The sequence below is a fragment of the Homo sapiens genome, chromosome 1 (genome assembly GCF_000001405.40).
Source record: "Homo sapiens chromosome 1, GRCh38.p14 Primary Assembly".
Taxonomy (NCBI): domain Eukaryota; kingdom Metazoa; phylum Chordata; class Mammalia; order Primates; family Hominidae; genus Homo; species Homo sapiens.
The window spans coordinates 108,062,452-108,076,216 of NC_000001.11; the positions used below are offsets into that span (position 1 = coordinate 108,062,452).

The window sequence follows — 13,765 nt, forward strand, 5'->3', positions numbered from 1 at the left end:
CGTGGGCAGCTTCATAGAACACCAAGCTACGTGAAAGTCATTGCTTTCCTAACAGAGATTAAAAATTAATGGAATATGCAGAAGATGAACCCCTTCCTTACACCATACATAAAAATCAATTCAAGATGGATTAAAGATTTAAATATAAAACCTTAAACTATAAAAACCATGGCAGATAACCTAGGAAATACCATTCTGGACACAGCCCTAGCAAAGATTTCATGACAAAGAGGCCAAAAGCAATTGCGACAAAAACAAAAATTGACAAGTGAGACCTAATTAAACTAAAGAGCTTCTGCACAGCAAAAGAATATACCAACAGAGTAAACAGACAACCTACAGAATGGGAGAAAATATTTGCAAACTATGCATCCAACAAAGGTCTAATATCTAGAATCTATAAGGAACTTAAACAAATCAGCAAGCAAAAAACAACCTCATTAAAAAGTGGGCAAAGGACATGAACAGACACTTTTCTAAAGAAGACATAAACACAGCCAACAATCATATGAAACAGTGCTCAACAGCACTAATCACTAGAGAAATGCAAATCAAAACCACAATGAGACACCATCTTACACCAGTCAAAGTGGCTATTATTAAAAAGTCAAAAAGTGACAGATGCTGGCAAGGTTGCAGAGAAAAGAGAATGCTATACACTGCTGGTGGGTGTGTACATTATTTCAGCCATTGTGGAAAGCAGTGTGGTGAATTCTTAAAAAAACGTAAAACAGAATTACCATTTGACCCAGTAAGTCCATTACTGGGTATCTACCCAAAGGAATAGAAATCATTCTACCGTAAAGACACAGGCACATGTATATTGATCACAGCACTATTCGCGATAGCAAAGACATGGAATCAACCTAAATTTTCATTAATAGTAGACTGGATAAGGAAAATGTGATACATACACACATTGGAATGCTATGCAGCCATAAAAAAGAACAAGATCCTATCCTTTGCAGCAACATGGATGGAGCTGGAGGCCATTATCCTAAGCAAACTAATGCATGAACAGAAAACCAAATACCACATGTTCTCACTTATAAGTGGGAGCTAAACATTAAGAACACATGGACACAAAGAAGGGAACAACAGATACAACATGGAGCCTACTTGAGGGAGAAGATCAAAAAACTACCTATTGGGTACTATGCTTATTACCTGGGTCAGAAAATAATCCATACACCAAACCCCTGACACACAATTTACCTATATAACAAACCTGTACATGTACCCCTAAACCTAAAATATGAGTTAAAAAGAAAAGAAAAAAATCCATGGCAGAGTTCAACTGTACTAATGAACCCTAATGACATCAACAGTTTCTAAAAGTCCTTTTCTACTGAAAACCAAGTATCAGACTCATTCTTTACTTGCCCTGCTGGTAATATCATCTCTTGGGATGCACAGGAAGCCACAAAGGGAACTGATACTCCATACCTAATTCCAAGAAATAAGGGAAATGTGGTTGGTGATTGAATGTGACAGGAAGTGACGATGTCATTTTGGAGCCTGTAATAGTGAAAGAAAGGATAGCTGCAAACTGTTGGACATGTACCATAGGCTTTAGACAACAGGACACTTTATTTTAGAGAAAAGATAGATATGACTGGAGATCTTGAAAAGGAATTTGGCACATGTGGGTTCAGATATTTTACAAGTATGAAATTCTAGGTAAATTGTCACAATCCCATCCTTTTTGGAAGAAAAGTGGAGTAGCATTTAAAGAAATAAAAGATTTCACAGAAGTTGTCTGATTAGCTCAGACTCAAAACTATACATTTTTTTAAAAGGATAGGCATAAAACCAGGAATAACCACCTATAAGTATAGACTTTGTGAGGGTAGAAATAGCTTTTTTCCTTAATTTTGTATCTGTAAAAATTGTGTCAGAAAGTAAAAAACTTCCATAGGTAATTAACAAACTTTAAGGGCAACTAATATTTAATTAATTAAGTATGATTGATATATATGATATAGCATATTGATTATTGATCATATATTGATACGCTATATGAGATTAATATGGTATAATCTCAATAGATGATAGAAGACATATCCATTTTTGCTTCCAGATTCATTATAAAGAATGATGTTCAATTTTTTAAATTAAGATAAGCATGTTAAATATTATAATAAAGGAGAGTGGTCCTCAAAGTAAAATAGTTCAAGAGAGCAGAATGGGCACATGTTTGATTTCCTCTCCATCAGATACCATTGATATAGAATAAAGATATACAAATATAACCCAAATAAACATCTGTGCCCCAAATTATAGCTTTAACATGGTGTCTTCCTTAATGAAAAAAAAATCCCAACCATATAGTAAGAAGTGCATTCTTAGGTCACAGCAAATACCTGCAATAACCTCTTTCCATCTTCTTCTATATCTTCTCCCCTGTAGCAGCAGTACTCTGTGTGTGTGTGTGTTTGTGTGTCCCAAATCTCCCAGATACTTACCCCTCATATTCTTATCCTTCCTCCATTCCCCACATACTACTATAATATCTCCCTACTATACACTTACAAGTAGCAACAGTTACAAATAGAAACTTTTATTCTTCTCCGTGAGCTGCATCAGATAGCTTCAGAATTCTGGAAAATACAATGTTTCTTCACTTTTCTCCTCAAGAAGAAAATGTGTGGAGCTTCCTAGGAAGTATAATTTTCTCACTCTAACAAATTTTCAAATCTTTTTGGAGAACTTCTGGTGAACAAAATTCTCTACCACATGACCCCAAAAAGAATAAATTTATAGATGTGATGAAGTAAAACAATGTGGCATCAGACAGATGTTTTTGATAGAGTTTCTGACAAAGTGAGTCTAATCATATTAACATATAGCCAGAGTTAGGAAACAATAGATGAACAAAGAAAATTCCCAGAAGTGGAATACCAGAGGCAGCAGAAGTAGAGGCAGAGTCATTCTTCTTTAGAGAACCAAGAGAGGTCCAGACTCAAGATTGGAAGGTAGAGAATGCAGCATTGGATCTGGGGAAGCAATCAGCAAAAAAGACAGAGTGATGCATTACTGTCCCTGCCAGGTAAAAGCCAACTGCTCTACTAGTCTCTGCTATTCGGTTTGGAGAAACGAAGCATTTTCCAGATCACTAGCAGATGTGAGGGGCTATACTAATTGATTCTAGCAAAGATAAGACTTTAGGAACAATCGATGCAATTAGAGTCACTATCGGATTACATTTTGGATACCCTACTGTCATTATCCAAGATCCATCTGTCTTCTTGCACAGGCCAAACAGACAATAAATGAAGAATAGGAATCACCAGCCATGCATCTTGCACATCGTTAATGGCAACCTTAATCTCTGCTATTCTCTTGAGGATTCAGTATTGCTTTGGTTTATAAATTTGTCCTTTCTACTATAATAAATCTTAAACTACAAGTCAGAGTGAATATTTTGCTAGTTGCTTAGTATGCCTATTCTAACTTTCCATTCAGGTCCTGGGGAAAAACCACTAGTTAGATCTGTGAACCTATTGGACCCACCATGATAGAGGCTTGGGGCAATTGACACCTGCATTAGTCAAAATCATCTATGTTATGTAGAAAAACAAATAACTCCAAATATCAGTGACTTATAAAAACAGAAGATAATTTCTTGTCCATATTACATGTCCATCATGGGCTGGATATGGCTCTATCCTACACTTCTTTGCTCCAGGGTCTAGGCTAGTAGCTGCTATCTGGAGCATTGCTAATCTTGTGGGAAAAGAAAAAGAAACATGGGAAAACATACTGTGTCTTAAAGCTTTTGTCCAGGAGTGACATATGACACATGCCCACATGTTATCAGCCAAAGCAAATCACACATACACTCCTGAGTTCAAAATGGCATCATAGAATCCTGCCATCTTGAAGGCACTGCAAAGAAAGAAAATGGAGTATTCAACAAATAGTAATAGGATCTACTGCATTGTCTGACCTGCATGGACTTCCACCCTGACTGCGGGACCACAGCGACATGTTGGAGACCTATGGAGTAATGTCATCTCAGAGGCAGTATACAGTAAGTCCAGAAAAATCTTGGAATTCCTCTGTAGAATATTTAAAACATGTACTTGTAGCAATGTCAGAAGATTCTTCCTCCAGGAGATAGGCTTTCCTTCCCATTCTAGGGTTCCAGATTTGAGAAGTGGCTGAGGTCTGGAAATGGTGTGAACAGTATTAACTCTCCATTGTGATTAAAATTAAGCCTGTACTCATGACTTAGAACTTTTTCTATTTTATATATAAAGTAAAATTGTATTACATAAATATAAAATTGCCCATCTATTTCAGTCTTAAGGACACTCTGATCAATTAGCCATAATCAAAAATATGTGTGGGGTAAACTTTTCTAACTATCACTAATCAATCCCACCCCACCTTGTCTTGTCAGTATCTGCTGCCACTTACCGTCTATCACTCTGAAATCCTTCATCCTCACTGAAATCAAGGAGCCTATTTCTACAGTAGCATCTTCAGTCATCATCCTCAGCTTTGAAGGACAGACACAAGAGGGCTTTCCAAGAAAGATGGAGTTCCTCTGACTAATGTTTTCCCCTATGTTTTGATAAAGGTAGTATCCTTTGATATCTTTGATGAGATGAGTAAGAGTGTGTATTAGTTTGCTAAGACTGCCATAATAAAATACCACAGACTGGTTGGCTAGAACAGCAGAAATTTATTTTCCCACAGTTCTAGAGGCTGGAAGTTCAAGATCAAGATAGGGTCAGTTTCTCCTGAGACCTCGGTCTTTGGCTTGCAGACAGCCATCTTCTCATTGAATCCTCACCCAGCCTTTCCTCTCTACCCTGAGACCTCTGTCTTTGGCATGCAGACAGCTATCTTCTCATTGAATCCTCACCCAGTGTTTCCTCTCTACATGTGCATCCCCAGTGTCTCTTCTTTTACTTAGAAGGACACCAGTAATAGTGAATTAAGGCCTCGTCCTTGGGACCTCACTTGACATTAATTACCTGTTTAATGACCCTATCTCCAAATAGTCACATTGGGGATTAAGTCTTCAAAACATGAATGGATAGGGGGACATAATTCAGTCCACAACATACTCTTCTTTCTTAATATGTCACATATTAATTAATATGTCCTATAACTCTAAAAGATAAGATATTATTTTGAGGCAGTCACAACAGAAGCTCTCTGGTTTTCTGATAATGTCTAAGCAAACATTTTTAAACCCTGAGGTCATTTCTGTAATCTCTCCAGTGTACTCAGAAATATCCAGCCCACCACGCAGTCTCTGTAGTCTTCACTCCAACAGTATGCAAATACTGCAACAGCATCTTTGTCTCCCAAAACTATATCTTTAATATTAGGCACTTAATTCCATGCAAGTATAGGTAATAATTTATGTAACTCTTTTGCCATGAACTACTGATATCTCAGAGATCATCACTGCTTCAAATCTTAGTTATTGGAGGTATCCAATAACTAAGCCAAATTCATATTTTTGAAGATCTTTTTCTTGAAGCCATTCTTGGTAAGTGTTCAATTAGAAAAAAAAATCTATTATAGATACTCCAAGCAGGAAATAATCTACTATACTGACCTCATACTGCTGAAATGGCTAGAGGGGTAGGAGGATGCTACACAATAATCAGGAAACCACATAAATCTGTTGGTAAAGCTACAGCTGCTAGTAATGCATATTGAAACACAAGACAGCCACTGCAAAAGCCCATGCTTTTGCATGTCACTACTTCTGATAGAAGAATTAAACATACCTCGCTTCCTACTTTTAAGTATCATATGAACATCTTTCATTGACCTACTCTAAACAAGAACATTGATAGCAAGGAATTCTGGGAAATGTAGTTTCCAAGCTTCCAGCCTCTATCATACAGGAAATACCAAGAAAGCTACTGAATACCGGTAGACAGATACCTGGCACACACTTTCTCTGGAAGTCATTGGAGGATATCCTCCACAAAATGAAAGATTAAACCAAAAAGGAAGACATCATGAGATCCTAGAAACTCAGAATTCAAGACAGAAGAGAGACAAAAGAACTTTCCTGGATGATGACATTAGAAAGTCCTAGGATAACAGCTATATTACTTGCCTATATAGCAGCCAACCCAAATTAGAACAGAGGGATGAGGAAATTTAAGAGAAGACTTTAAGGAAAACAAATGAAACTGATAACATAGTATGACTATGTTGACAGGAATTTTATAGTTCTTTTGGAAAGATAAGAAAGAATTAGATATAAGACAAGTACAGCTTGGTGCAATGGCTTATGCCTGTAATCCCAGCACCTTGGGGGGCCAACAGAGGTGGATCACTTGAGGTCAGGAATTCAAGATCAGCCTCGCCAACGTGGCGAAATACCATCTCTATCAAAAAATACAAAATAATTAGCTGGGCATGGTGGTGCATGCCTGTAGTCCCAGCTACTCGGGAAGCTGAGGCAGGAGAATCACTTGAACCCGGTAGGCAGAGGTTGCAGTCAACCAAGATCGTGCCACTGCATACACTCCAGCCTAGGTGACAGAGCGAGACTCCATCTCAAAAAAATACAAAAACAGAACAAAACAAACAAACAAACAAACAAAAAAAGACAGGTACATAAAAAATCTAAACAAAAAAGGAAGGCAATAACTACAGGAAAAACACAAAAGGGTACTCTACTTGGTTTAATGACTAAGGTTTATAGTCATAACACTAAAACACTAAATATTAGTTTAATCAAAATTATAATTATGTTGGAAACAGGGGATAGATAAGTCAAAGTGGTAGTATAAGAAAGTTAAGTTCTCACCTGCTGTGAAAAGTACAGGTTAGTTTTAAAATGGATAAACATATAAAGAGTAATATAATTATTTTTATTTCAGAATTGGAGGTAAATACTAGAAGAAATAGTTAAAGATGTAAAAGTTGATTGATTCTAGGAATTTGTTAGTAGGGATGGGGAGGAGTTAAAAAGGGGCCTGCCATTTTTTGTTATGAGCCTTGCAGAATTGACTATTAAACCATATGTATGTACTAGTTAAATATAAAATAGGAAAAATTTTTAAAAGACTGAATGGGAAGAAAGCAAATAGAGGCACAAGCCATAGCTTGGTGTGTCTCAAACTTTAATGTACATATAAATTACCCGAGGATCTTATTCAAATGCACCTACTGCCTCAGTAGATCTGAAATGGGATCTGAGATTCTACATTTCTTTCAACCTCCCAGATGATGTCAAGGCTGCTGATCCACAAACCATAACTTTGAGTAACGAAGATGTATACTGTTCTTTGTCTTAGGGAGACAGAAAGAGAAGTAATTAGATGAATACCAAGGATAAAAGTGGGGTTGTAATTGTGAGAGGTTACCCTCTTTCCACTCTATATTCTGCCTGAAAATGTATGCATGCTTTAAGTTTTTTCTGTGAAACTTTCCTGAAATTTCTCCCTCTCACTCCCACCATCAGCCCCAAGCAAATTAATTATTTCCCAGCTTGGAAGCTCCCAGAAAAATCTATAAGAGCACTTGTCTCATTGTATTGTTATAGTTGTTATCTTGTCTGCTTCCCCCAATAATTGCAGGAACATAAATCCTGGTTTCTTTTCCTAAACTGGTGTAATCCTTGAATTTAGCATAAATATCTGAAATATCGAAATTTAAATAAATGCTTAGGAGAAACAAATCATTAATGAGTGAACATAGTCACAAATTATAGTCACTAGAATTGTTTGGAAGACAGGTACATGCTCATCGGTGATATTATAGAAGGAATTTTAGGTGGCAAAAAGTAGATGACCATATAAATCCCCTCCTAAGAGCCTATGATTCTATACCCTGGATGTTATGAAATAGTAATAATAACATTGCCGTGGGATATTTGTTATCGTGTTTTCATGCTTTCAGTAATTTATTTTGAGGAATTTTTAAGCTTTTTTTTTTTGAGACTGAGTTTCACTCTTGTTGCCCAGGCAGAGTGCAGTGGTGCGATCTTGGCTCACTGAAACCTCTGCCTCCCAGGTTCAAGTGATTCTTCTGCCTCAGCCTCCTGAGTAGCTGGGATTACAGGTGCCCACCACCACACCTGGCTAATTTTTTGTATTTTTAGTAGTCATGGGGTTGCACCATGTTGGCCAGGCTGGTCTCGAACTCCTGACCTCAGGTAGTCCACCTGCCTCAGCCTCCCAAAGAGCTGGGATTATAGGCGTGAGCCACCACACCTGGCTGAATTTTTAAGCTTTTAATACACCTGGTTACAGCCAATCCCCTAAGTACTGAGAAAAAAAAAGAATGTAGAAGTAGGCTTAGGAAACTATACAAGGTTTTAGCCATCAAAGTTACTCTGGCAAGTTTCAGATCCCATAAACAAAACTGACCTCAACTTGGCAGCCGCTGCACCCTAAATTATGGGGCTGAAAAGGCCAACACTCATTCTAATTAGGATGATAACCAGCTGTTAGAAATGAGCAACTGAGCCTAGAGAGGGTACACTGCCAGCCCAATTTTTAAATAGCAGGAAGTTAATTAAAATAATAAGAAAAGAGCGATAAGACACTGATATATTGTTCCAGCTAGTCCTGGGAGGTAGAAAGTGCTGACCTCAGATGGATGTATCATTCCACATTTTGGGTTTAAGGTTACAAACGTCTGCAAATGTGGGAGTAAATGATAATGATTAGAAAAGAAATTAGGAAAAAATAAAGCATTGGAAGAGAAAGGAGCTGGGGCAGCCAATGATCTGTCATCTGCCAAAATTTAGACTTCAATTTGTATTTCAAGGTCTGGAAGGGAGCTTTTAGATCAGTTATTAGTGAGTGGATACTATTCCGGGATGCACATTAAAATCACCTAGATGCTTTTAAATAATTACTGATACTCAAGTACCAAAACAAGGAATTCTGATGTACCAGGTTTGGACTGGGGTCCAGGTCTCAGGTCATTAATTTGCCCAAGATCACTCAGCTTTTAGTTAGTTGCAGGCTAGTGATGATCATTGTTGGTATCCGGGTCTACTGACTCCCAATTTAACACATGCTTTCTTCTACCCTCTACAGTGACCACTCCCTGATATGCTGCAGATGCAATTGAGTAGCAGCTTCATTCCACATTTCTCCAACATCTTTCATGGTGAGGTCAAGAGCATATTCAAAACCATGTGTGGCTCAGTCCAACTGGAGAGACCAAGTCAAAGAGCCTCATTTCCATAAGGTAGAATCTTGTCCATACCTCTTCACTCACAACACAGACCAATCTTGCAGAAGCCAGGAGGTTCTGAGTAAGGTCTGCATAAAGAAATAATACCATAGTTTCCAATTGGCCAGTTTCGTTCTCTAACCAAACAGCTGCTGCCTGCTTACTGAGTGTGCATGCCCACGCACACTCACACTGACTGTAACTCACCATCAGCTGTAACCAGGCAGTTCTCTCAAGCCATCTGCAGCTGGGCAAAAACCTAGAATGATTAAGTCATTGATAGAACACCACTTTCCTAAAAATGGCAATACTTAAATACATCTAATCCTGATCAATACCTTGATATTCTATATCATACATTTAAAAATCAAGTTGCCTAATTATTTTAAATATATTCCAAATGAACAAAAACACATTATAACTCCAAATCACCATGTTACCACCACCATGGCGTGGAACCTTCCTGTCCACTCCAGAAGGCAGTTTTGTGCCCTCCTGGGCACCTGTGTCGCAGCCTAGAGACACTTAGACATCCACCGGGATAGTCCCAGGGCTCAGCTGTGTTGTTTCCATGTCTCAGTGATCACTTTTCTTTGTTGCCTGATGTCTCAACATTTTGAAAACTGCTGTTTCACATATTTTGTCTGGTTTTCTAGTTGCTTCAGACAGGAGTTAACTACAGTCCTTATTACTTTGTCTTTCCTGAAAGCAGAAGTCTTTTAACTAAAGAAGGGTAGATATTAAATGTATCATCTTTAGAATTTGATGAGAAAGTAAAATTGCTTCCTCACTGTCCTCACCGGATTCACAGGGGGAAATGATTCAGAGGCTTTTGCCTTTACCTCCTAGAGCATGTTCTTGCAACTGTTGGGCTAGTCTTATCTGGCCAAACTCTGTTACTAACAGAATGTCTAGTTATTTTGCAGGCACAGAGTTAAGAAGTGGCAAGTTAACACAGCCAGAGCATGCACAGAAGAAAACTTCGACCTCAAATAACACCTAGAACCAAAGTCCCTACCGCAGAACTAAAAGATTGGGATGTGGCTGGAACTCAAGCACCTAAACACTTTCAAAAGTGAGCAGTTCGTTTTCTAGGAATGTTCACTGATAAGACCCTTCCCCTTGCCTTACCATAAATAGTTACTTAAAGATCCTCCAATAATAAAAACCTCCCCTGCCAGTGCTTCTGCATACCAATCTACCCTCCTTAAGTGATAAAACTTGCTGCAAATCCCAGATTAGAGAGACAGATTTGAGTTATCCTCCTGTCTTCTTATAGGTGGACCTCACAACAAATCTTTTCTTTCCTCAAAAACTGGTGCCATATCATTGGCTTCTATGTGCATCAGACAGCAAGCCCATTGCTCAATGACGTTCTGACTACTACATTTCCTCAGTTCTAAGATGTCAAGTGCAAGACACATTTTTCATCTAAAAGTCATTTTAGAGGGTTTGGTGAGAAACCCAGCACACTGAAAGTACACCAAATTGTAAGGTGCATCTTTATTTCAGAGATATTAGCTTATTAACAACTACTCATCTTAAAATTGAGGAAATGTGATTTCCTTTTACCTTTGAATTTTTGTCACCTATAACAAAACTTCCCTTGTTGCAAACAAACCTGTAGAAGGGATAGCGTTACTGATATGGCAAACAGACATGCCACAACTCTAAGATCCCAAACCTTCTAAATGGTGATCAGATCGGTATGAGTACTTCAGTCATGCTGTGGATAAGAGAAACTTCTGTGGACCTTTCTAAGATCCCTATCTGATTCTCTATCAGTCATGTTGTGGACAAGAGAAACTTATGTGGACCTTACTAAGATCCCTATCTATTCTCTATTTATAAAGCATTCTTTGAGTGAAAAAAATTGTTTCCAGGCAAAGAGAAAATAACCTTCTTTCCTGATCCTCTAGAACTCTCTTTGTTACTTTGGTGACAGTGTCTGGAGTATATGAAAGAAGGGAATTCATGATACAGAGAGGATTTCACTCCCATCTGTTAGATTGGTGGTTCTCTAGTGCATCAGAATTACCTGGAGGGGATGTTATCCCACACATTTTGGACCCCACTCCAGAGTTCCAGAAGTGGTTAAGGTAGAGATGGGACCCCAGCATTTGCATTTCTAACAAGTTTCCAGGTGATGCTAAGGCAGCCAGTCCTGGAACTACACTTTGAGAATCACTGCTGTGGAGGCTTATTGGCCACAGGCCACGTGGTTTGCAAGAGGATAGAACTCCCTGTCTTGGGGACATCTGTCTTTTAGATTTGGTGATAAGCATAGGTTGACCTTTGTATGGATAAGGCATTCATAAGTCAGATGTTTCCATCCTTAAGGACCCATGCTTATCTATCCTACAGTTTTAACACAGCTTACCTATTTGCTTGTTTTGTTGTTGTTGTTGTTGTTTTTAAAGAATGAGTTTTAGATGATCGTCTTCCATTACTAAACTTCAGAGGAATAAAGTATAGGTTGCTTTTATCCAAGGGAAGAGAGGATGCTTAGCCAATTATTTCTTCCAATAGCTTTTGTTTTTATTATCTTGTCATTCAATAATCAATAGCCAGTGAAGAAAAATGAAAATTGTTGACTTCTGGAAGTCAGGAGTATTTTTATTATTACATACTGTTCATGACAGTTTTTAAAACAAATCTCATACAGTAACAAATAATCCCACTAGCTGTGTATAACCCCTAAATTGTAGGAAGAAATAGGCAACCGCAGGAGATTTGGAACCCACACGTTTCCCTCACCTCCTCTCCACAGGGCTTTGCCTTCCAGTGTCTACTTGGCCTTCCAGTGTCAGACAGCTTCTTGCACCTGACCCACTCAGCTGAGGACACAGATGTCAAAAAAAAAATCATAAATACAGAATTCCAGAAAATTTTACCAATATGTTATATTTGCTGTGGTTGCTTTATAGATTTTTAAAAATTATTGGTCCAGTAACAGGTCTGAAATTTAACCCTTCTCCTGCTTTTGAAGCATTTTTTAGGTAAGTAGTTTTCATGCTTTGATGTATATCATCAGAATTACCTGGGTGGTGGATCTGGAAATGTGTATTTTTAAAGTTGGTGTTTTTATTAATAGACTTTATTTTTTAGAACAGTTTTAGACTTACAGAAAATTAAGGCAATAATACAGAAGGTTATCCACACACACACATAGAGTTTCCCCTATTAACATCTTACATTAGTATGGTACCTTTGTTGCAATTAAGGAACCGATATTAATATATTATTATTAACAAAAGGCAATAGTTTACTTCAATTTCCTTAGATTTTACCTAATGCCTTTTTTCTGTTCTAGAATCCAATTCAGGATCCCATATTGTGTGTTTAGTTAATATGTCTCCTTATGCTGCTCTTGGCTGTGACCATTTCTCAGACTTCCCTTGTTTTTGGTGATCTTGACAGTTTTAAGGAGTACTGTAATATTCAAGTGTTTTGTAGAATTGCCCTATATTGGAATTTGTCTGATGTATTAGTCTCGAGTTATGAGTTTGGGGAAGGAGGATCACAGAGGTAAAGAACCACTGTCATCATAGTCTATAAAGGGTACATGTTGTCACATGACTTATGGGTGTGGTTGACCTTGAGCATTTGGCTTCAGTAGTATTAGACAGATTTCTACGTCGTAACGTTACTCTTTCATTTCCCCTTTTCATAACGTATTCATTGGAAGGAAGTCACTATATGCAGCCCACACCTAAGGAATGGGGAGTTATGCTCCCCCTCCATTAGGATGTAATCTACATAATTTGGAGTTTTCCTGCATAGGAGATTTATCTCCTCTCTATAATTTATTGCTTTATTCAATAATTTCTTTATGTCAGTATGGACTCATAGATATTTATTTTATACTTTGGGTTATACTCTAAAGTGACTTTATTTATGTTGTTTCTCAAAATATGCTAGCTTTGGCCAGTGGGAGCTCTTTCAGTTAGCTCATGTACACTTTTGACGTACCCCATCTGTGTGTGTGTGTGTGTGTGTCTGTGTGTGTGTGTGTGTGTTGAGTATTTACTTACCTTCTGGCACTACAAAATGCTCTACAGTCATTTCATGTAGTCACTGCCCCAGTCCTAGAATCAACCATTTCTCCAAATAGCCCTGGCGCCTTTTATTGAAGAATAGTATAAGAAACCAAGATTTGAGTGCTTGGTGTGCTCCTTACTACTGGATGTCATTTCTTTTACACCTTGTCAGCTCACAGAGCAAAGAAATACATGTGCATATAAGAAGCTGTGTGTGTAAATATACAGCTTGGAAACACCTGTATCTACTTTAAGTTAAACATGAGTTCTTACCGATGTCATCAACTCTACTCCATTACCACATGGATCATTCTCTCACTTACCTATCATCTCCCACTCAAACAGTAAGGAACCTGGCTCCCACCATCTGCAAATTCTTTTACAAAAAATTAATTGTTCAATTCCAGCAGACATGTATAGCAGTATCAGAATTGTTAATACTTCCATGAGAAACAACTTTTTAAAATAAAATACACTACTTAATGTGCCTTTAGCCTTATACACCCCATTCATTTCCAAAGTTACCTATGTCAGTGCCTTTTCTCCCTTCAGGG

At 37.9% G+C, this 13,765-nt stretch overlaps 1 long non-coding RNA gene across 1 annotated transcript; it reads left to right on the plus strand.

The window, feature by feature from the left end:
- Window positions 1-2,048: 2,048 nt before the first annotated feature.
- On the plus strand, window positions 2,049-12,940 carry LINC02785 (long intergenic non-protein coding RNA 2785). Its single transcript, XR_001738173.3, has 4 exons — window positions 2,049-4,033; window positions 4,406-4,585; window positions 9,033-10,246; window positions 11,942-12,940. It is a non-coding gene; the product is annotated as a long intergenic non-protein coding RNA 2785 (long non-coding RNA).
- Window positions 12,941-13,765: the final 825 nt, after the last annotated feature.